General features: G+C 34.4%; 1 protein-coding gene across 44 annotated transcripts in view; it reads left to right on the top strand.

Moving 5' to 3' along the window:
- ATP2B1 (ATPase plasma membrane Ca2+ transporting 1) overlaps window positions 1-23,068 on the top strand; it is a 121,318-nt gene extending 98,250 nt beyond the window's left edge. For 18 of the 44 annotated variants that reach the window (NM_001413053.1, NM_001413060.1, NM_001413056.1 and 15 more), the window contains 8 exons: window positions 609-696; window positions 1,074-1,180; window positions 6,771-6,962; window positions 7,192-7,405; window positions 7,863-8,074; window positions 9,684-9,791; window positions 11,818-12,000; window positions 19,822-23,068. In NM_001413053.1, the coding sequence (NP_001399982.1) occupies window positions 609-696; window positions 1,074-1,180; window positions 6,771-6,962; window positions 7,192-7,405; window positions 7,863-8,074; window positions 9,684-9,791; window positions 11,818-12,000; window positions 19,822-20,133 (1,416 nt within the window). In that variant the 3' untranslated portion in view covers window positions 20,134-23,068. Of the gene's footprint in view, window positions 1-608; window positions 697-1,073; window positions 1,181-6,770; window positions 6,963-7,191; window positions 7,406-7,862; window positions 8,075-9,683; window positions 9,792-11,817; window positions 12,001-12,373; window positions 12,528-19,821 lie in introns of all 44 variants that reach the window. The other 26 variants (NM_001366524.1, NM_001366525.1, XM_047428890.1 and 23 more) reach the window with 9 other exon arrangements.

Genomic DNA, 23,726 nt, shown 5'->3' with positions numbered 1-23,726 from the left:
TGAATATGCACTGTGTTAGGCACCATGCATGAAATAAATGCAGTCTATACCTTAGGAAGCAAAATACTAGTGTTCTAAGGGATAAAAGAGAGAAGTAATAAATTGGTACTAAAGGGAGTAAGCATTTCTTGCTATGAATGCTATATAAAAGTAGCAGCAGTGAATCTAGGCCAATTTCAGAAGTACAGTATGTATAAGGGAGTAATGGGAGATGAGTTGGAAAGGCTGATATGGAGCATATTTTAGGGGGCCCCAAACTCTCTGAACTTCTTATGCTAAATTAAGGAAGTTCTATTTTCATAGGCAGTAGGGGGATTTTTTAAATTTGGTCTCATAATGATATATAAAAACAGTGGCTTTTAAACTTGAGTATGCATCAAAGTCACCTAGCAAGATTATTAAAACACAGATTGCTGGGCCTGCCCCACAGTATTCGCTAAGATAGATCTGGGTCCATGCCCAAGAATTCACGTTTCTAACAAGTTCCCAGGAGTTTCTGATTGTTCTGTGGACCACACTTTGAGAGCTACTGATAAATATGCCAGATAGCTCATTAGGATTTAAGAAACTATGTTTGGGCATATTTTAACTTTGATAAACACTTATAGATTGAGCAAGAGAGGATAGACAAGATTTGGCCAAAACTTCGAGTACTTGCAAGATCATCTCCTACTGATAAGCATACACTGGTTAAAGGTAAGTAGATTTTTCAGTTATTTCACAATTTCTTAATACAGAAATGTGTTCTGCTTCCCAGAATAGTAATAGATACTGAATATTAGATTGAGTCATGGATATCATCTGTTTTAATAAAATCTAAATACATTTCCTTTGATACCTTAGGTAAATTGTGTTGTTAAGTGATTATCTTAAGTGTTTAAAACAGGATATTGCTCTGAATATACCCATAGTTTCTGAAGTAGGTTCTCACCCAACATCTAAGCAATTTCCATTTTTATATTTGTTTATTTATTTTTAACCTTGAGTCTATAAAACCGACGTCAGGATATTCTTCAGAATCATCTTATTAAAGAGTAATGTTTTTATAACACAAATATTTGCTTGTATTTAAGGTATAATTGACAGCACTGTCTCAGACCAACGCCAGGTTGTAGCTGTAACTGGTGATGGTACAAATGATGGCCCAGCACTAAAGAAAGCAGATGTTGGATTTGCAATGGTAAGAATTTACTCATTCAAATATCCAAACGTAATTTACTGACTGGTTTGTTTGTTTGTTTGTTTGTTTGTTGACTAAATTACTATGGATTTTAAACACTGTCCCTCAAGATTAGTTCGAGGGATAATTAATAAGCTTAAATTGGTTTATAAGTCTAATTAGTTTATGCATTAGCTTTATTTGATGTCATGAAATCTGACTAGATTGTTTCTTTTGAGCAATTTAATAATATTGTATGTTGGCTTTGTATTCTGTTAATTTTTTAATGTCTGTCAACTCAACTGAACCTTTTAATAACCCTTTAATGCAGGACACAGGCTTAGAATAGTTGTGTGTATTTAAATTAAAAATATAATTGAAACTCTTCCATTCATCTACTCAGTTACTCTTCAGTTATTTAAAAAGTAATTGAATACCATCATTTTATATATAATCTTTTTTTATTGAAAAAAATCCTACCTACTTGTTTTCCCCAAAGTCCTCAATTTAAGTATTTTATTTTCTTTGAGTTTCATTTTATTTTTGGAAAATACTGGTTCATAATCACAATTCTCAAATCTAGAACTATCAGGAAACTGAAATTTTTAACCTAAATTTTGCAGCAGACTCATTTGATTGCAAAATTTGTTCTGAACTGATGTGAGGCTGTTATTTGTCCTACTTAGTGTGAATATTCATAGCCATTGTGGAGATTTTAATGTGATTTTTATGGGGTGCTAAGCTCTTTTGGGAAAATTGAGATATAAGGTTATGTGTCTCATTATCTTTCCAAACTATGAGAGACTGAATTCCGAATCACAGTCTGGCCCTAAGGTTTTCAGATGAGAGATTGTTTTTGTGTACAAATGTTTATTTGCATAATTTGTCCCCCTGATATTTTGCTGCTAAAATGGAAATTTAGAAGATCTACCATGGTGGCAGCCTTTCAACAGGAGTGAGAGAGATGAGGAAAGGAAATTATGGGTAAATTTCCCTCAATCAAAAGCAGGGAATCCAAAGATCCCCCGCCCTACCCCATCCCAAATTTAAATGGTTGGCAGCTGCATTGGTAGGAGCTTCTGAAGACATGTGAAGCATAGCTGAAGAGGTCTATGGAATAATTAAGTGCTCTTCCTTTTGCTGTAGGCAAACAGGCTCATTCCCTTTAGGAACATAGGATCACTCACTGCTGCTCTTGAGCATTTAGCAGGATTCTTATTGCTATTTACATTCTGACAGCTGACCAGAAAGGCAGTTATGTAAAATGAATTTTAAAATAAAAAAAGCTTTCTTCCCAAAACTTGAATGTAAGACAGATACAATGGGCTTTAAATAAATACAGGTAAATATAATCAAACAAATACACAATACAATGGCTTGTTGGTTAGTGTTTTTTAAGCTCTTCATGGTTTTAGGCCCAGTTATACCACTTTTTTTTTTTTTAAATGATAACATCAAAAGTCTAAATTTAGTTCAAAAACAGGCTGGCCATGATGGCTCACGCCTGTAATCCCAGCACTTTGGGAGGCTGAGGCGGGCGGATCACATAAGGTCAGGTGTTCAAGAACAGCCTGGCCAACATGGCAAAACCCCATCTCTACTTTAAAAAAAAACATACAAAAATTAGCTGGATGTGGTGGTCGCGCCTGTAATCCCAACTACTTGGAAGTCTGAGGCATGAGAATCACTTGAACCCAGGAGGCGCAGGCTGCAGTGAGCCAAGATGGCACCACTGCACTCCAGCCTAGGTGACAGAGCGAGACTCTGTCTGAAATAAATAAATTAATTTAGTTTAAAAACATAGAGAAACTGTAAGTGCTTGGTAGCTTGGACTTGAAACTACTCTTGTTAAAGCTTGAATTTACTTTGGTTTTGCATTTGTACAGTTAAAACTTAGACAAACGTATTGTCTTAGAGTTTTTTTTTTAGTTACAAGAAATCGCTGTTGATAATTTCTTTCTAAATGTATCTCCTATTTTCAGGCAGATATAGCATTTTAGAGCATACTTTCTTGATTTGTTGATCTATAGATAAAGTGTGTGTTCTGCTTGTACATTTGGCCCTTTGTATCCATGGATTCTGCATCCGCAGAATCAACCAACTGTGGATCGCAAATATTCGGGACAAAAAATATGGATGGTTGCATCTGTAGTGAACATGTGCAGACTTTTTCTTGTCATGATTCCCTAAATAATATAGTGTAACAATTATCTACATAGCAAGTTTTGGTCGAAGGAGAGAATCCTTGTCACATGAAATTATTCTTGCCAAAAATTAGTTAACCATGTATAGAGATACTGCTGTCATCAAAGACTGAATCTCATGGTGTAATCCAATAATCAAATACATCTATGGTAGTAAAACCTAAGGTAATTAAAATACTTTTATTTAAATTTTATTTGGATTAATGCGGGACTCCAAATATTGAGACTGTGTTCAGTATTCCAGTCCCGGAACATTAGAAGTGAAGAGTTGCTGTCTCCTAAAAATTCACAGCACATGGAAATAATTACAGGACAGTGACAAGTGTCTCAGGCAGAAGTCCTTGACTCTGCCTGTAGAGACTGGGAAGGGTTTTCTGGAAGAGGTGCCAGTTTAGCTGAGGGAAGGAGAGGAACCAAGAGGCCCTCATTCATCAGCGAATTATGTACAAGTTTTTCAATCTAACTAGAAGAGGTTGCGGTGCTGTAATGAGATACGAAGCTAGAAGAATTCACAGGGGGCCACATTAAAAAGGCCTTGAATGCCATGATAAGGAATTTTTTTTCTCTTATCCTGTAGATGAACATTTGCCAAGCCTACTTCTGATGATGTAAGTTTAGAGACACACTATGCGATATCATATGACTCCTAGAAGCTCATTTTTAAAAAGCAGTTTAACGTTTTGTGATTGAAAGTTTTCCAGACTTGTTTCATCATAGAACTAGTTTTTATTTGAATACCAATTAACACCATAGAGTTACTTTTAGAAATGTTAAGGATTTTGAGCAAGGGAATGGTGAGATTTGCATTTGTATAATATGGGTATGATGAGAATCAAGAAATCCCATTGAGTTTAAGTGTGTTAAATATATGGGACATTGGCCAGGCATGGTGGCTCACACCTGTAATCCCAGCACTTTGGGAGGCCGAGGCGGGTGGATCTCTTGAGGTCAGGAATTCAAGACCAGTCTCGCCAACATGGTATATTAAAATCCTGTCTCTACTAAAAATACAAAATAGTGGGTGTGGTGATGTGTGACTGTAATCTTAGCTACTCCGGAGGCTGAGGCAGGAGAATGGCGTGAACCCGGAAGGCAGAGCTTGCAGTGAGCTGAGATCGCACCACTGCACTCCAGCCTGGGCAACAGAGCGAGACTCTATCTCAAAAAAAAAAAAAAAAAAAGTGGGACATTAAAAGTAAAATATTCACATTGGGAGCTGGAGACTAAGATTCTAAAATAAGATTGTTTCTTCATTGAGTATTTTGAGAAAGGTTTCATCTGAACTTCATGTTTATCAAAACAATGTATGCGTAGCATTTAAAAGGTCAAGTAGTTCTATAAGACTTAATAGCAAGTTCCCTGCCACATACCAAATTTTTGGCTCCCAAAGGAAACTGTTTTAGCTGCTTCTTTTACTTAGTTATGTACCTTTATATCTCTGAATCACATAATTCTGGTGCTTTTTGATTTTTTTAATATAAGGCTTTAACTACTGACTTTCATTAATGAAGGTGAGGACTTAGTGCTTTCACAAGCATATAGACCACATTCACCGCATATACCTTCATGCTCACTACCTATCCCATCATCTGCCAGCAGAGTTATATCATAATTTAGATTTGATCAATATTCAGTCCTTACTGTGACTTACTGTGACTGTAAATGCTGTTTCAACCTGATCTGTGTGGTCTACTGTAATTACTTTTCCTTCCTTACACAGCTTTTTATGTTCCCTATAATTTGTTGTCTTTTACTTGCTTTCTTTTAATTTTTATTTGGTTTGTTTGAATTTTTTTGGCTTAGTTTTTCTATGTACTTAACTAATTCATCCCCAAATTCTCTGTTTCATACATCAGAGACCTTTAGCACTCTTACCAATTTTAGTGTCTAAGAGATACGTCTCTCAGCATCTTTCAACATGCTTTAATCTGCACTCGCTGTTTGCTAGCCTTGCTGCACAGCTGTCTTCTTGGTCTCCATACCTGAGGATTTTCTTTATTCTCCTTTGTGTTGGATCTTGTACTTCATGAATTCAGTGGCATCATCTTCTTTGGTTTATTCCCTTATCTGGTGGAGTCATCTTCTCCAGCTGCTTCCTGAGAAAGGGTTTGTCTTTGTCCATTTTGTATTGTGATAACAGAATATCTAAGACTTAATAATTCATGAACAATAAAAGTTTATTTGACTTGAGGTTCTGGAAGTGAGTAAATCCAAGAGCCAGGGTGCCAGCATCTGGTGAGGACCTTCATGCTGTGTCATGTCATGGGAGAAGGGCAAGAGAACACCGCAAGTGAGCACAAAAGCAAGAGGGGGTCAAACTCACCTTTATAATGATGTCACTCTTGATAATGAAACCACTCCCAAAATAATGATATTAATCCATACATGAGGGCAGAGCCTTCATCATATCACCTCTGAGTTTCCATGTCTGCACTTGGTTGATTAGAGATTATGTTTCCAACACATGAATTTGGGGAACACTTTCAGCTCGTGGCAAGGTTCGTGAGGTTAAGCTTTTTGATAATTTTTTAGTGAATCCTACTCCCTTCTAATTACTGCCTTGTCTCTCTGCAAAGATAACCAGTATCCTGAAGATTATTCCTTTTGCCTGTTTTTGAACTTTGTACAGAAGAGTCATACATTATGTGTTGAGTTCATCTTCTTTATTCAGCATTATGTTTGTCAGATCATTTATGTTAATATAGTTGTAGTTCACTCATTTTATTAATCCACAATTTATTAATTACCCCATTCTCCTGTTGATGACATTGTTATTAGTTTGAAGCTTCTAAATGCGTCTTCAGTAGACTTTCAAGAGATCTTCCTTTTTTTATTCCTACCTTCACCCCTACTTCCAGTGCCACGTAAATCTGCCAAGTCTGGAGCTGACAGGGGGGTTCTGTTGTTGGGGGGAAAGGGGGCTACTTCTACTTTCTCTACACTTGGATTAGGATTCAGCTTTCTTGTGTCTGCTGAGTTACTTACCATTTGGCTGTCTGCTTTCTAGCCTCTAAGGTTTTATGGGTTTTTTGTTTGTTTGTTTGTTTTTTGGTAGAATCTCCTTTTCCTCTAACTTTGTCTTCATAGAGTTTGTTTGCTTTTTATTAACAGATACCTTTTTGTGTGGCTTTTGGAAGGAACTTGGGTAATGTCTTTGTTCATTCCTCCATTTTTAACCCAACTTGAACCTTATTTTTAATACTTCATTCTTTGTTTGATTTCTGCTAAACCAGAATGTCTTTCCTAGTAATATCTTAGAATAACTCTGTTACCTTCTTTTAGTGTAAATTTAAGTAATATTTATTAGGTATAATGGTAAACTTTTTGTTTATTAAGTGTGTATTTTTTGACTATTTGAAAGTTATACTTAAAACATTTAGTCTAATTCACAAAATTTTTTTTAACAGGGTATTGCTGGAACTGATGTAGCTAAAGAAGCATCCGATATTATTCTCACAGATGACAACTTTACAAGCATTGTTAAAGCAGTTATGTGGGGACGAAATGTCTATGACAGCATCTCAAAATTCCTTCAGTTCCAACTTACTGTTAATGTAGTAGCAGTGATTGTTGCTTTTACGGGCGCCTGCATTACTCAAGTAGGTGATGACTTGTCTATCAAAACTTGTTTACTTTAAATTTAAAAAGTATATTAAATGCCTCTTAAAAAATACTTAATATTTAAGCTGAAGCTTAATATTTTAGGTTAGTTAATATAAAAATATAATCCTGTTCTGTTTCTCAAGTTTTTAAACCCTAAAGGTTTCCTGAGAATTGCTGAGCCCCTGAGTAGTTGTGAATGTCTATTAGGAAACATATCTTTTCTAGGACTCACCGCTTAAGGCTGTGCAGATGCTGTGGGTAAACCTCATAATGGATACACTCGCTTCCCTGGCTCTGGCAACGGAACCACCCACTGAGTCTCTCTTGCTTCGGAAACCTTATGGTAGAAATAAGCCTCTCATCTCACGTACAATGATGAAGAATATTTTGGGTCATGCATTCTATCAACTTGTAGTAGTCTTTACACTCTTATTTGCTGGTAAGAATTCAGTGTCTAATAAAGCTTCAGTTAATTGTTTCTTTTCCAAGCTAATCATCCAAGATGTTATAATGTTACAAATTTTCAAGAGCCTAAATTCTACTCCTGACTTCCCATTTATCTTTAATTTCTTCTTAATCAGTGAGTGCTTAGTAAATTTGGGAGGACAATAAGCTAGATAGTAGAATAAACAGGAGAATAAACAGTCCTGATGTCTTACCCTGGCTCTCCACTAATTTAGATATGTGATCCTGAGATTATCACCATAGTTTTGGGAGCTTCTGTTTCCTTGCCTATAAAACAAGAGAGTTGTACTAGATAATCCCAGGTTTCTCTAGCTCCTTCCATGCTGCCATTTCAGATCAAATAAAAGGTCTAGCTAAGTTGTAATTTGTATACCTCCTTGAAATCTAATTTGGTATGATAATTACAAAATAGTCATTTTTCATTCTTTCAGGAGAAAAGTTTTTTGACATTGATAGTGGAAGAAATGCTCCTTTGCATGCTCCTCCTTCAGAACATTATACTATTGTTTTTAATACCTTTGTGCTGATGCAACTTTTCAACGAAATAAATGCCCGGAAAATTCATGGTGAAAGAAATGTATTCGAAGGAATCTTTAACAATGCCATCTTCTGCACAATTGTTTTAGGCACTTTTGTGGTACAGGTGGGTAATTGGAAAAGATAGTTTCAAATTTGCCTGTTAAATGGGAGACATTAGGTAAACAGCTTGTTCTAGCAATCACTTGTGTGGAACATGTGTGGAACTGTTGCCTTGGTGACATATATAATATCATGGTGATTTAAGGTATATGTTAAAGAATATGGGAACTGAATCTCCTGTTCTTAGAAGTAAATGCCACAACCAACTAGACAAACAGTTTTATTTCTTCCAACTGTAAAGTGAAAGATATTATTTCTTAGGAAACAAAGTCAGCCAATCAATTAATTGTTTCCCAGCATTTTAGTATTCTTTTTACATCCCACATTATACCAAAAAAAAGATCAGGTTTAAATTTTAAAAAAAATTAAGATCACTTGTACAAATACATATTGAATTCTTCATGCTCATTATTTTCTTGATTTATAAAAGAAAATTACTTCAGTTTTATATCTCTACTAAAATCCAGACCTGATTGTCAAATCAGTTGTAATCTAATTGGGCTACTAACAAAGCAGTTGGAAATCTATCTGTACAAGTGCACAAATTAACTTAAAAAATAGTGGAACCGAGAAGTGAAAATGACTTGAATTTGAATAAAGTAGAGCTAAAAAGAAAGGAATTGTAACTTTAAGGTTTTAAAATGTTAACTACCAAAATTATTTTTGATTTTAATATTTGGGAACTAGTTAACTGCCATATCAAAGAGAGGCCTGTCAGACTCACAGGAGGGTGAATATTGTTAATTGATTCTTTTTTTAAAAAATTATTTATTTTTTAATTAAGACAGGGTCTTGCTATGTTGCCTAGGCTGGTCTTGAACTCCTGGGCTCAAGCAGTCCTCTCACCTCAGCCTCCAAAAGTGCTAGAATTACAGGTATGAGTCACCACACCCAACCCCAGTTAATTCTTAATATTTCCATGCACACTATTTTAGGCCTTTTAGAATAACAAGCAAAACATAAGCACTGTATTATGAATTTATATTCATCATCAGACCTCACTCTTTTCATAAAGGAGAGCAAATCTGAGATCACCTCACCTGAGTTAGCCCATATTTCATAGAACTTTCCAAGTTGCCTTTCTTCTCATATAGTCTGTGTTTATCTTAGTATGTCTAAATGTTAACTAGAAATAAACAGCTATGTGGAATTTTTTTAATATTGTGCATTTTTCCAGTAACATACAGTCTTTTCTACAAAAGAGTACTATATTTTGAGAAAGGCACAGATTATTTGAAGAGTTGTACTAAATACAGGGGAATGTAGTTGCTTGGGGTTATATTGGAAACAGTATAAAATTATTATTCTTGGTCATAAGAATTTTACTTTTTAGTAAGCGTAATTTAAACATGAAATACGCATGCATCAAAAATATTGGGCAGAGATTTTACTTTATTTCAGTTGTCTTTTTTTCTAAGAGGCAAAGTGGACTGGAGGGGAAAGAGGAAAGGTCTATTTCAGTTGTCTTATTTTCAGTTGTGACTAATATAATACAATTCATCAGAATAGTGGTTGTTCACCTTGTTTTAGAGGACATAAATTTGATATTTTTTTAAGTATATGAATTTTAAAATTTAAGATTTAAGTAAATTTACTCTTGATTATTCCTCCAGATAATAATTGTGCAGTTTGGTGGAAAACCTTTCAGTTGTTCAGAACTTTCAATAGAACAGTGGCTATGGTCAATATTCCTAGGAATGGGAACATTACTCTGGGGCCAGGTAAAAATTTCATCAGTTTTTGTTTAAACCTAAAGTGATTTTTTTTTTTAATTTCTAGTGTGTATTTTCTTTAACAGTTTCATTACTTGATTCTAAATGGTTAATGTGGTGAGTAAAGAGAGGGCATTCAAAGATAAGTTTTTTTAATGTCGTATTAGTTCCAGTATGTCACTTGTTCATTATGATTATGCCTGTACTATAAAATACTATCCTAACTTTTTATGTGTTTTTTTAACTTGTTTTTTAGAAGTTTTGTAGCGGTTTTTAAAAATGATGTATTTATAACTGGTTAGGATGCTAATATCTGTATCTTTTACTCTATAACCTATTTTTACATTTTCAGAAAAAAATTTTTTACAACAATGTAAAAAATACATGGCCGGGTGCGGTGGCTCACGCCTGTAATCCCAGCACTTTGGGAGGCCGAGGCGGGTGGATCACCTGAGGTAAGGAGTTAGAGACCAGCCTGGCCAACATGGTGAAACCCCGTCTCTACTAAAAGTATAAAAATTAGCTGGGCATGGTGGCAGGCGCCTGTAATCCCAGCTACTTGGGAGGCTGAGGCAGGAGAATCGCTTGAACCCAGGAGGCAGAGGTTGCAGTGAGCCAAGATCGCGCCATTGCACTCTAGCCAGGGAGAGAAGAGCGAGACTTCATCTCAAAAAAAAAAAAAAAAATACATTGTCATTTTGTTCTGTAATTTAATCCAATATGCAGCATAGGAAAAACTGACCTTAGAGAATGTTTTTATAAAAATAATGTTACCTGGAAAAAGGGGTCACAAAATGATGTTTTAGATTTGAATTGAATAGCTTTAACAGTGTATATATGAAATAAAGTGCCTGAAATAAGAGATATACCTCATATTTACTATAGGCAGCTTACTTGCAAATGCATGTCATTATTTTTTAAATGTGACAGTGATTTATGCATTGTTCATTTTAAGCCCATTACTATAAAACTAATTTATAGAAAATCTAACATTTTCATAGATGAAGGTTAATATATATTATGGCATATAATTTGCATGAGCTAATTTATTGTCATTCTGCAAATCAGTGAAACCAGACTTTCAGGTTTTCCTTAAATGTAGCCCAATCTTTACATCTTTGTGTCTCTTCTTTTTCTTAACTATGTTTCTAGATTCTGAGGTTTCTTATCTATTTTGAGTACCTCATTAATAGAGATCATCTTTTAAGTAAGACCCATACTAAGTGTACCATGGTAGAACAAGCACTGCCTTTGGTGGTCAGGAGACCTAGGTTCCTAGTCACTCCATGAGCAAGTCACTTTATGTGCCTTGAAGCCTATTTCACCTTGGTGAAATGAGGTGGGTGTACTAGAAGTTCTCCAAGCAGAATTCTGTAGCTGACTACATGCTTGTTTCTCCCTGATAAACCCAACTGCTGCCTTAGAGAATGGATGTTAACACATAAGCTAATATACGTGTATTGGTGTTTCTTGTATCCTTTGTGTTTTCTAGGGCATCTGTTTTTGTTTGGCGTCATCAATCAGTACTAATCCAATTTTAAACTGTTGCATTTTAAAAAAAATATGTAACAAAACTATTTTCAGTGTAACCTTAATGATTTTTTTAAAAATTTTATACATTTTTTCTCATTGAACTCTGACAGCATTAATGAAATGTAAACGTGTTTTGCATCTAGTAAGACCACCTGCCATTTTCATTGTATTCAAAATAAATAGGACTTTTTAAGTAAATACATATATCAGAGCATGGTTTTACAATGTACTGTCTTGAATGTCCTGATGAAAATATGAAAAATGTAATCAGGTTAATTTCCATTTAGGAAAACTTTTTATCCTTCAAACTCAAATCTTTTGTGTAGCTAAGAGAAGAATGTATTTTGCTCTGGGAGAGAAAGACTAATCAACAGGATCCCATTACTTCATTGGTAAAGATAGTCGGATACTCTCACCACTTTTAATACCTTTAGTATTACAGTTGATCAGCTTACCTTTACTTGATATGATTTATTTCTAAGTTCATTCCCCTGTGTTGTAGCTTATTTCAACAATTCCAACTAGCCGTTTAAAATTCCTCAAAGAAGCTGGTCATGGAACACAAAAGGAAGAAATACCTGAGGAGGAATTAGCAGAGGATGTTGAAGAGATTGATCACGCTGAAAGGGAGTTGCGGCGTGGCCAAATCTTGTGGTTTAGAGGTCTGAACAGAATCCAAACACAGGTATGGGCCTGGTAGAGAGGTAGGAGAGATGATGGGAGCCAGGGCTTTTTGACCTGGGGAGGAGGTTCGAGTGTGCTCCTTAAACTTCCTCTCTAGCCTTCCCAACCCACAAATTGTATTCTCTTGAAAAGTAATACTGGTGCCTGGAATGAGTGAGACTTTTAACTGATTATGAAAGAATGTGTCTATATGCCCCTAAGCTCCTTTTTTCCTAGCTCCCCCATCCCCCACTTCATCTCAAAATGCTATTCTTGCCTATATGCTGTGTAAAAAGTGCCTTTTTCTTTTTATATGTTGATAGATGGAATGGTCCTTTCTCTTGTTCTCTCTCTCTCTTGCTGAGCAAGCTGTCACAATCTCTGATTCCTTGCAGATGGATGTAGTGAATGCTTTCCAGAGTGGAAGTTCCATTCAGGGGGCTCTAAGGCGGCAACCCTCCATCGCCAGCCAGCATCATGATGTAACAAATATTTCTACCCCTACACATGTAGTGTTTTCCTCTTCTACTGCTTCTACTACTGTGGGGTGTGAGTGTGTGTTCCTAAGTGCATGAAATTAACATTTCCTACTTCACACACCTAACGTTTCTCATTTTCTCCTTAATGTTTGAATTCATTGTTCAGGCTTTTTCATAAAGCTTTCTTTTCGTAAAGTGGATTGAGACCTCAAAGTGTTGTCGTTGTTGTTTTATTTCTTAGAGGGCTAGATAACAGGTGGAACAATTGCAACCAAAGATTAGATGCAATCTGTGAGCTTGTCTCTGTGCTAACTCTGATAGTTAATATGGGGAATAAAATTGTAGCTTAGAACTTGTGAAACTACTATAAATTTTTGAGTATATGCCTTTAAACATGTTTATATTGCATGTTTCCTAAAAGCATGTGATTTGAAACTCATCTAACAGAACCAGGAAATTGCATTTTCAAAGCTAAGAATAAATTTAGCATTTTGACTTTTGTCCAATTTGGAAAGTAAGTTAGTAGCCTGAAGACAAGTTTTCAGTATGTATAGCCAGTTGCTTGCCTTCTTAACCTGAACTTTGCCTTGCTTTGATTTTTTTTTTTTTTTTTTTTTTTTGCTTGGTTGTGCAGTGGTTTCAGGGGAAATCACTGTGTAAATTTAAAAAGTTTCTGTGGTATTTATGGTTTGGGGTGTTTTTTTTTTCCATTTGTATAGACAATTTAGTTAAAAATTGCATCATAGATAAGAAATGTTCTGTTAAGTTTCAGTAGAAGTAGGAAAAGTATACTATTGATTAATCGTTGAACCAATAAATGTTGTAATTTTCAATAATTGACTAAAATAACATTTTCTTTCAGGTTTTTAGTAAATAGCAAACTTTCTAAAAGCCTTATAAGCTATAAATCTTACTGAGAATTCATGGCGCATTCTCAATATATTGGAGGCATTAAAGATGTAAACCCCAAAATTTACAGAGCTACCTAAGGTTAGCCTTGAAGTAGACAGAGACCTATCTTTTCCATTTGGTCTCCAGCCAGCGAAGGACTAGAGGAACCTTGAGAAGCTGCAGAGAGGATGAATTAAGGGAGAAAACAGTGCAGACTTTCCACTTAATGCCTGTTTTTTCCGTATTTACTTAAGTATATTTTCATTTGATATTTTTTAAAATGTGGTGAAACAGGCACAGTAAGAACTGTCCCTGTTTTACAGGTGTGAAAACTGCCTTAGAGTTTAAATAACTTCTCTACGACTAATAAGCAGAGGCCGCATGATGTAAAGCAAAGTGTTCCAAGTGACTCGCTAACATTAAGATATTAAATTTACATAGAGGGACAGCTAGAACTCTTCTTTTTAAAAATTACCTACCTGAATAAAATGGTAACCATAAATTGCCTAGCCTTAGGCCTGATACAATAAAAATGCCTCTTCCTCCCTGTATCTGTGGATTTCAAACTATGCCTCTCTCTCTGGTGCTCCTTACCACCTAGCCCTAGATGGTAAATGTTCCACAAGCCTTTATGGAAGGCCTACCATGTGTCAGAACTATGCTGGAACCTCCAGAACCTGCAGCCTAGTAAAGGACAAAAAAAAGTAGTTGGAAATTTCTACATGGTAGTAAAACACAAACTGTCTTAACAGGGTCCTTAGCCTACCCTGGAAAGTCAAGAAAAATTGCCTGAAGGAGGTGACTCCCAAGATGACCCTTGATAGAATTCACCAAATGAGGCCTCAGTGATTATAATCTGGTACTAAAAGAGGAATAAACTAAGGGATTGATAATAGTCTGGTACTGAAAGAGTAATAAACTAAGGGAAGCTGAAATGGAAAGTAAGTATCTGTTTATACCCCACAAGAAGGAGCCAAACTAAGACTTTATCCTGATAAACCCCCTTCCCTCAAAATTTTAAATTTGAAAAATTCAAACCTACAGACAAGTTGAAAAATTAATACATGAAAATCTTTCACCTGGATTTACCACTTAATATTTTATGACACTACTTTATCTGTATATTAATAAAACTTTTTTCTGAGCCGTTTGAAAATGGCAGATACCAGTGTTTTATCCCTAAATACTTCAGCATGTACCTAAGAATTCCCGTATATAATCATACTTTATTATCCAAGAAATTTAACATTGATACCATATTATCTAACAGACAGTTAGTATTCAGATTTCTCTGGTTGCCCCCAAAATTTCCTTTATAGCTTTTTTAATCCAAGAAATAATTATTGACAGTATGTGTGTTATGAGTCTAGTCTCCAACCTGTATTCATTCCCTGCCTTTATTTTTTATGACATTGACTTATGAAAAATCCAGGTGAATTGTCTTATGAAGGGTTCTACATTCCAGATTTGTCTGATTGATTGCTACTGATTAGCTTCATATTAAACTTTTTCGACAAGTTTATCTCATGGGTAATGTGTATCCTATTCGTTTTTATTTACCAATATTTAAATAATTGTTTTTTTCATTTAGAGGGATATCAGATGGCTTTAGGTGTACTATACTTATTATATTTCTCAGTCTGATTGTGTTCCAAGCTTTATATTAAATATCAAAGCAATCATAAACTTTTAAGACAGGCAGGCAGACACATATATGCACACACCTCTGCACCCAGGCATCTTTTTTTCCATCCCAGGCTCTTTTTTCTGATGCACAGTTACATATGAAACCTCTGAGTTTCTGGGCCCATGTGGCTAGGGGAGCAGATACTTCAGGGAAGTAAAGGTGCACTTAAGAGAGTGGCAAAGGAAAGTTTGTAGTTGTTGCTTTATCAAGGTTTGAGATGTTTACTTCTTTATTCTGTGTCCTATGTTCTTGGAGTTATCCAGGGAGTAAATCATATCTCGTTAATACAGTTGTCATTATACACCAAGAGTTGCAGTAATTATGTTGCTGTTACCATAAATGTCTTTCAACCTTGTTGGTGGAGCATTGTCTTAGGTGGTACAGAACATCAGCCAAAATATAGAACTATGTTAATATATTTAATGAAAGATTTCATTTTATCACTGTGTTTCTGCCCTAATATGGAATAGTTTTAGAACTACCTATGGGTGTCAAAATTATTTAACCCTTATTGGGTGACCTTGCTTAGCTAAAATAGAAGAAATAATCCATTTAGACTTTGTCAAATGCTAGACTCAAACATCTCTGAAGAGACCTTTTTCCCTTCATTTATTAGTCAGATCTTCACTCTTACAGGTCTCTAGAGAAAACATTCTGTAGTTTTTTTCTATTTATAAAGTATATCATTCTAACACCAGTTTTTACCATTAGTAGATTTTTTTTTCCTGAATAAATAAATACACATTCCTGGAAATGAGAAATTGAGAGAAAATTTGGTTTTCTAGGTGAAGGATCAGCAAACTACAGCTTATGGGCCAAATCTAGCCTGTTGTCTATTTTTGGAAATAAGTTGTTACTGGAATGCAGCGTTGCCCATTCATTTAAGTAATACCTGTGGCAGATTTTTCACTGTAAGGGCAGAGTTGTATAATTATGACAGACTGTATAATTCACAAAACCTAAAATATTTTACTGTCTGGCACTTCACAGAAAAAGTTTACCAACCCCTGTTCCAGATAGATAAGAACATTACACAGGTGGGTCTCCTTTTGAGAAAATTTAATATGCAAGTACCCAACTTTGGAAAACAATCTAGAATTTTGTTTCTAGTTGCAAAGTATCTTTTACTGTACCATTGCAATTCTTTAAGTTAGTGCACATAGAAAAGTAGTAATGAAAACAAATTTCAGAAGTGGGCAATTTGTTGTAGAAGGTAAGATTTATTGGCTTGTGATTAGTATTTTAGAGCTCTCTCTTCTGTACAATGTTTTAGGCAGTAAACAATGTTATTTTCTGCTATTAAAAGTTAGGATGGTATTTAGAAAAATTGGTTTTGTAGGTACATGATCTTGTTTGGATTTGTTATATTTCATATATTGTTTACCTTGATAATCATTTTCAGTTTCTTAAAATTCATGATTATGATAATCACTTCAGTTTTTTTGTTTACCATATGTGCTTCATGCAGTATTTTTGTTTTTTTTTTTCTCTGTTGAACAGTTTACTTTTACAGAATATTTTTGACACAGGAATTACTGAATTTTTCTTAATTCTGATAATTTCGAGGGGTATAAGTATGCTCCACAGAGTAGGTTTAAATAGTTAATAAATAGGAATTGAATTTTAAAACTGGATAAAATAAATAGGCTTGGATTTTCAAAAGCCTGTAATTAAGTTTACTTATATTTCTACTTAAATTGAATTATTATTAATATAGTTTCCTTCCTACCTAAAGTATTGTGCACAAAATTATTATTTTCCTCACAGTTACTGTACTGTGAGAATTTTACATACAGAAAGTAATAAAGATCAGAGCAGGTGTGAGCCAGCTCAGTGTCATGCCTTAGATCAAGAGTGCTTTCTTATGTTCTTTATAAGTAGAAAGTAAAACAACTCTGGTTCGATGATTCCTGGTTAATCTGAGCTTTATTGTATGTATCTCGAGAACTGTTCTTTGAAAATTGAATTGCTTTCGAGCATTGCTGAACTGGCCTAGTAACGTGCTGAAACTAACCAGACATATGGCTTAAATAGATGTGTCAGACAAAGGAAGCATTAACCTTAATCTTATGGAATGTTTTATTCAAGTGAAGTTAGGGATAAAGTAAATGATCGTATGTTTTTGTCTTCTCTTGACTTCCAAGGAACCTGGAATTGGGAGCCCAGAAACCTAGGTTTTAAGACTCTTTAGCACTAATTAGGAGTTCCTTAACAAGTCAGCCACCCATCCTCTCTGTTGCTCAGTTTTATTATTTATGAAGTGGTTAGAAAAAAAAAATCTCTAATATTGTTCAACAAATTCAGATAGGAAAAATCTTCTCAGAATTGAAGTTTTGCTAAGAAGGGATTTAATCTTTCTTTGCCTGCCACCGGTGTATGTGTGTGATTGTGTGTGCACATATACTTGTTGCCCTCACCTTTACACTCTGCCCCTCTTAGAGCTTCACTAACTCTCAAATCTCTAACTTAAGTTTACACTTTTCTTCTGAGCTCTAGATATTTTCCAAATTTAACATGTTTAAAAAGTACATTTATTTCCCCCCGATTCTTCACTGCTCACTTTTATACCGACTGATTACAAAGAAAAACAGATGGAAAACACACACATACACAGAAAGCTTAACTGTTGTTCTATCTTCAGTAGCAGCAGCACCAGCAACCTTATCAAATAAGCAACATCTTCAGGGTTGTCTTGAACAGTTCTCATCACCCATCAAGTTTGCTGGCTGATCCTCTAATTTGTATTCTCCTCCGTGCCTACGGGCTGCTGATACCAACAAATTTTTTTTTAGAAAGTTATCTTTTTGCATTTTAAGCTTTACAGTTTGTTATTAGGACAGTCAGGATACTTGCTGAATGTTCACATGTATAAAATGTGAATTTTAAGACTTCACAATAAAACACTGAATGAATTACTATAACGTTATATTTAGCAAACATTGTTTACATTCCATATGTAGAACACTTTACATCTTAGTAAAGGGGAAGAGGAACAAGAGCAATAAAAGAAGTTGAAAAATATTTGCTGCTATTCATCAGTCAAATTAAGGAACTGAAGTACAAGCAATCAAATAGAATGGAATTATAAAAGATGGTAAAGCTGCAAGACATTAATAGAATAGATGCTTGCTGCTCCAAGTGTGGATCATGGACCAGCAGCTTTAGCATCACCTTGGAGGTTGTTAGAAATGCAGGACTTTAGGCCCCTGCTGAATCAGAATCTGCATTTTAACAAGATCCCCAACTAATTTGTATGCACATTAAAGTTCGAGAAGCCCTGGCCTCGATACTTGTGACCTAACATTGTTTTAAGTTTGTAGTGTGCTAACGAATTTAATCTCCCACAACAACCCCGTAAGGCAAGTACCATTGCTATTTCCCATTTTATAGTTGAAGAAACCTGTTTGACCGAGGTTCCTCAGGTAGTAAGTGGCAGAGCTGGAATTTACACCCAGACATTTTGCTTTTGTATTTCTCAGTTGACTATGCTGTACTCTCTATATAAAGGGCTAAGTGAATATGGACTAAAAGCAGCTTACAAATAGGGCTTGGCAAATAAGGAAAGACAACTTGAAGGTGAGATGTGGGTGCATGGCCCTAAACTCTACATTACATTTTTTTAAACACATTCACATGTTCATTTGAAGAAATGTATTATTCATTATTGCTGTCTAAAGAGATGAATTTGGTGACCGCATCTTTTTTCTAGAATGTCAAAGTGTTATTTATTTCTCTTAACAATGAGTAAATGATGTCTTTATTACTAAACAGGATTTATTAGAATCAAAGCAAAAGCAAACACTGTATTTGAATTGATACATAGTAAATGCTCAACTAGTTGGATTTTGTCCTTTTTTTTCTAAATCTGAATGACGCTTGAGTTAATAGCACTTAATGTCAGTGTGTGCACTGATGTTTTTAAGTTTGATTGCCCACTAATCTTTTTCATTTATACAGCAGACTGAGAGGAAGATGAATTGTTGAGCTATCTGCTTAGGGGTGAAAATACTAGAAAACTTTTAACACTTTGTGTCTTCTTGGGAAATTTTTCACAGAAGAATCCCAGAGGATTTGTTTTTGTTTTTGATCTATTCTTTCCAGATAACTGTAGTAATTGATTTAAGTTTTAATCTGTTACAGAGAAAAACACTAAAACTTTATAGACAAATGATAGACAAATGGCATATACTCAAATATTTATAGCTGTTTAATGGCATTTTATAGACATTTATTTGGGTTTTGTTCTTATTTTTGTTTTTAATTAAGGGAGTAGTGGGGTAGATGTGAGTTCATTGTGGCATTCAGCTTATATTTGCTTGGCTTTTTCATGGTCGGTGACACCCTAATTCCTAGCATGATAAATAGTAACCCTTTGTGCTTGATTTTGTTTAACTTATTTGAGTTGTTTTCAAAATACATTCTTTTTAATTTAAAAAATCAGCTAAGCTTGTGTATGGTTAAGTTTTTGTTTTGTTTTGTGTTTGATTTGTTCTTTTAGGGAAAAAATCCTATAAAATGGCTATTAAATTTTTAGCCAATGACAATGAGATTTTCTTAATATTACTTTGAATTCTTTACCTCTTAATTCTTAGAGTATGTGGTTTTGTTGTTCTGTAGTGTCTTACTAAAATATTCATTTTTTTACAGTGTATTGCAAGTTCCACTGCATTACATGCAAATATGATTCACTCATACCTAGCTGTTTGTGGATTCAAACTCATAAATGAACCATTTTTAAGTTGTTAATAGTGTACTGACATATTTCTGTATTTTCTGATATTTACAGATTCGAGTGGTGAATGCATTTCGTAGTTCTTTATATGAAGGGTTAGAAAAACCGGAATCAAGAAGTTCGATTCACAACTTTATGACACATCCTGAGTTTAGGATAGAAGATTCAGAGCCTCATATCCCCCTTATTGATGACACTGATGCCGAAGATGATGCTCCTACAAAACGTAACTCCAGTCCTCCACCCTCTCCCAACAAAAATAACAATGCTGTTGACAGTGGAATTCACCTTACAATAGAAATGAACAAGTCTGCTACCTCTTCATCCCCAGGAAGCCCACTACATAGTTTGGAAACATCACTCTGATTGTAAGCTGAATGTTAACACACTAGCTGCATTGTAAAGAAACAAATTGAAACTGGGTCTTTTCACATATTGTGATGGACAAGCTAGTATTCTTGTCTTTGGACTTCAACAGAAGACACACTTGTACGAATGTAGATTTATTTTTTTAAAAAAAAAAAAGCAAAGCTTTCTGCCAGACTGAGGGTGCTTTTTGGGGGGTGGGAGAAATGAACTGACAGATAAACAGTAACTCAGCGTAAGTGACCTGTGGATCATCAGTAGTACCCAAGCATGGTCCTGAACAGTGTATTAGCAGAGCTTTAGTTTATCTCAGTCCTGGATGGGAGAGAGAGGGAGGAGTAAAACTGGGCAAGACAAAGAGCCCTGGATCGTTGAATTGATAGTTTAATTTCTGCTGTTGGCTGTTAATAATTTGGATTATTTATGTTTATAAATGATACAGATCTGTTTACAAGGTTTGTAGATACTTTTTTTGTTCCTGTTCATAGATGGGAAGCTTCCTTATAACTGATGCAGAGAAAAATTAGTCCTTCAAATACTGCTGTATTTTCAGGAAAAAAAAAAAAAGGGGTGTTTCTATTGAAACTGTACTAAATTTTTGCCTACAATTTACCTTGTTAAATATTGTAGATAAATTGCTAATACTAATAGCCAAATAGATAACACTAATGCTTTGTTTAAAAAAACGAAAAAAACAAAACAAAACAAAAAAACATGAGCAGTGGTGTTCTAATGAAGTTATGACATCTGTCCTAATTAGTTTCTTAAATACATTTACTACTTAATGGTTTTGAAGCAACTGTTTAATTTTTAAAATTTTTGAAAACTTGCTAATAACCTTTTGTTCAGAATTTAGTAGATTGTTTAATGCAGGACATCAACTACATAATGAAAGATGCTTGAAATGCTTTTGTTATTTCAGGCAAATCAAATTAAATCAGACTATCAAACTACAAGAGAACCTTAGTCTTTTTTGTTTTTGTCTAAACATGTTAGTTTAGTGATGTCTTGGTGAACTGTGAGTGAACTGTATTGATTTTTCTAATCTTTAGAGACCTTCACACAGCATGAGGGCTGTTGGCATTTTGAAAAAGGTTAATAAGTAGAAGCATACATGTTTTCCTTTTGTTTTTGAAACTTGTTTGTAAACATAAATAAATATGCCCTTTTATTAAATAAATTCATGGCAATGTTTTTTTAAAAGACATTTCAGCTTCTTTACTCAGTTCTGCATATACAGTGCATCAGTCTGTTCTCTTTGACCACAATTGGAATACATTTCAAGATGGTAACAGCCCCATGAAGTACCGCTTTAATTCCTTGCTGGTAATCTAATAGAATCAGATTAAGAAAATTAACACAATTTTACCATTTGACATACTCTTCATTGAATTTAGTTTGTCTAAAATAGTCTCACAGGTAAAAAACATAACAACAATGACCACCATTGTCTTTGATACATTTATTTTAATTCTTAAGTGGCCAAATAACAGATTAGGTAAAATGAGATTACATGAAAAGGTTCTAAAATGATATATTTAGATGCAATAATTAACCATATGCTAGAATGCCCACCTCTAAGCCAATTGGATTCTTTAGCTCTCTTTTTCTTTCCTTCATCTACCTTCTTCTCTTTTTTGCCTCTGTCTTTACCCTTTAGAAACTGGCATGTGTTAGGGCCCAGATTTCACCAGATACACAATCCTCAGGCTGACATAAAGTTTACGAGGACTGCTACTATAACTGAGAGTGCTGACCAAGCAAAGAAACATTTAGTTGATGGTGCTTGATATTTTTGGTGGGTGGGGGAAATCTTTTTCTCACCATCAAATCTTTGCAGTAATCCTCTGCAGGTCTTAGAAACACATTGGCTCTGTCAGCATTTGTAATTGTACATTTATTCATCAGGTATTTATAGTGAATCATACTGTAAAAAAGAGGTAGCATGATATGCTGGAAAGCATATTAGACTAGGAGTCAAGACCTGGTTTCTAGTCTTGGTTTTGCCATTAATGTGCTGCATGATCTTGGGAAAATCATTTACCCTAAATAAGGGTGGTGGACTATCTTGAAGAACCCTTTCAACTCTAAAAATTGACCCTATCAACTGGAGAGCCCACAAGGCATAGGGAATAGAGAAAAGGGAAATGTTTTCAGTTTTCTTTTTTATTTTGGTTATGCTTAAATATGAATGTAATTACCAAAAGATTTAGAAGTGCATGTGCTTTGGAGGATTTGTATTGAGCTTTTACAGTATTCATTTTTCAACTCAAGGCAATGGCTTTCTACACCAACTCTAATCCATAAACGGGTCTTATGACATCTATGAAGTAGTAGCAAGACATGCTTAGTGTGTATTTCTCTCTTTGAGACACTGTAATTTCTACCAGAAATTTCCAGAGCATTATGTAGGTAGAAAAAAATGCAAGCAAGCTGTTAAAGATCTTGGATCCCATTATATAGTATGTATAGCTGAAATCTGTAATTCAATCACTTTTTCTCTTTTATCCTCTAACCAAAAAATTGTTTAATTTTGCATCCCAAATGTTTTTAATCTTTGTATATTTTTTAAAAATCCTTTTCTCCTCATCATTGCCTTTTTTGTGGTTGTAAATAGACTTACTTGCACTTTGAAGATGAGTTACTCCTTGTCATCTTACAAATATGTGATATGGTAATTTTCATAACAGATGTCAGTTTTGAACCAAGAATTGGTGATTTGTTTATAAGAAAAAAACTGGCTTCATTTCTGTGAAATTGCTCTTTGAAAATTTCTTTTTACACGTGTAAGCCAACTGAGATACCGTGATGGTGTTGATTTCTTTCAATGATGCTTACCATCTATTTTAGCCACTGAGCCTTTTATTATTTGTCTATTTGTAAAGTTTATTTGTCTTAACTCATTTAATAAATATACTGTTTATCTGTTTCTGAATGGGGACTGAACTTTTTGGATATTGATATTGATTTGAAAATATTTTGGAATTTTTTCTACTTGAAATTTTAGAAATCTAATTGAAAATTCTATAATGTACTTGAAATGTTATGGTTGTGTTACAGTGAATCACTCTTCTAATAATATGCATGATCTTGCCTCTAAAATGAGAGTGGGTACATTGTCCCTACTCTCCAACCCACTGTCCTCAACCCTTATAGCACAATAGATCATTTCTGCAGTCTATGGGAATGTAATCTGCTGGTTTTAGTACAGATTAGTTTTTCACATTAGCTGTAAGAGCTTATTTTTATTTCATTATCCATACTTGTCAATACCAGTTATCTGAACTCTATGGTAAAAATTAATAAAATTATCCATAGTTGTTTTTTATAATAAGTTATTAATATAAACTAGCAACTTTGTTGAAATACTGAGTAAACTTTAAATGATGATGAATACCATATTTTTCAGTTAGTATAAATCATTAGTAAATTATTGAGTATACTTAAGTACCATATTTGTGACATGAAAGATATTTTCCATTTTGTCAAATTGGGTTTTATATATATATTATGTATTAGAATTGAATTTTGAATTAAGTTCTCTTTGTAAAAAATTAGCTGAGAAAGAAAGGGGAGTTTAAGCCTTTGCATGT

The sequence above is a fragment of the Homo sapiens genome, chromosome 12 (assembly GCF_000001405.40).
Source record: "Homo sapiens chromosome 12, GRCh38.p14 Primary Assembly".
NCBI lineage: Eukaryota > Metazoa > Chordata > Mammalia > Primates > Hominidae > Homo > Homo sapiens.
This window is presented reverse-complemented; position numbering and strand designations above follow the sequence as displayed.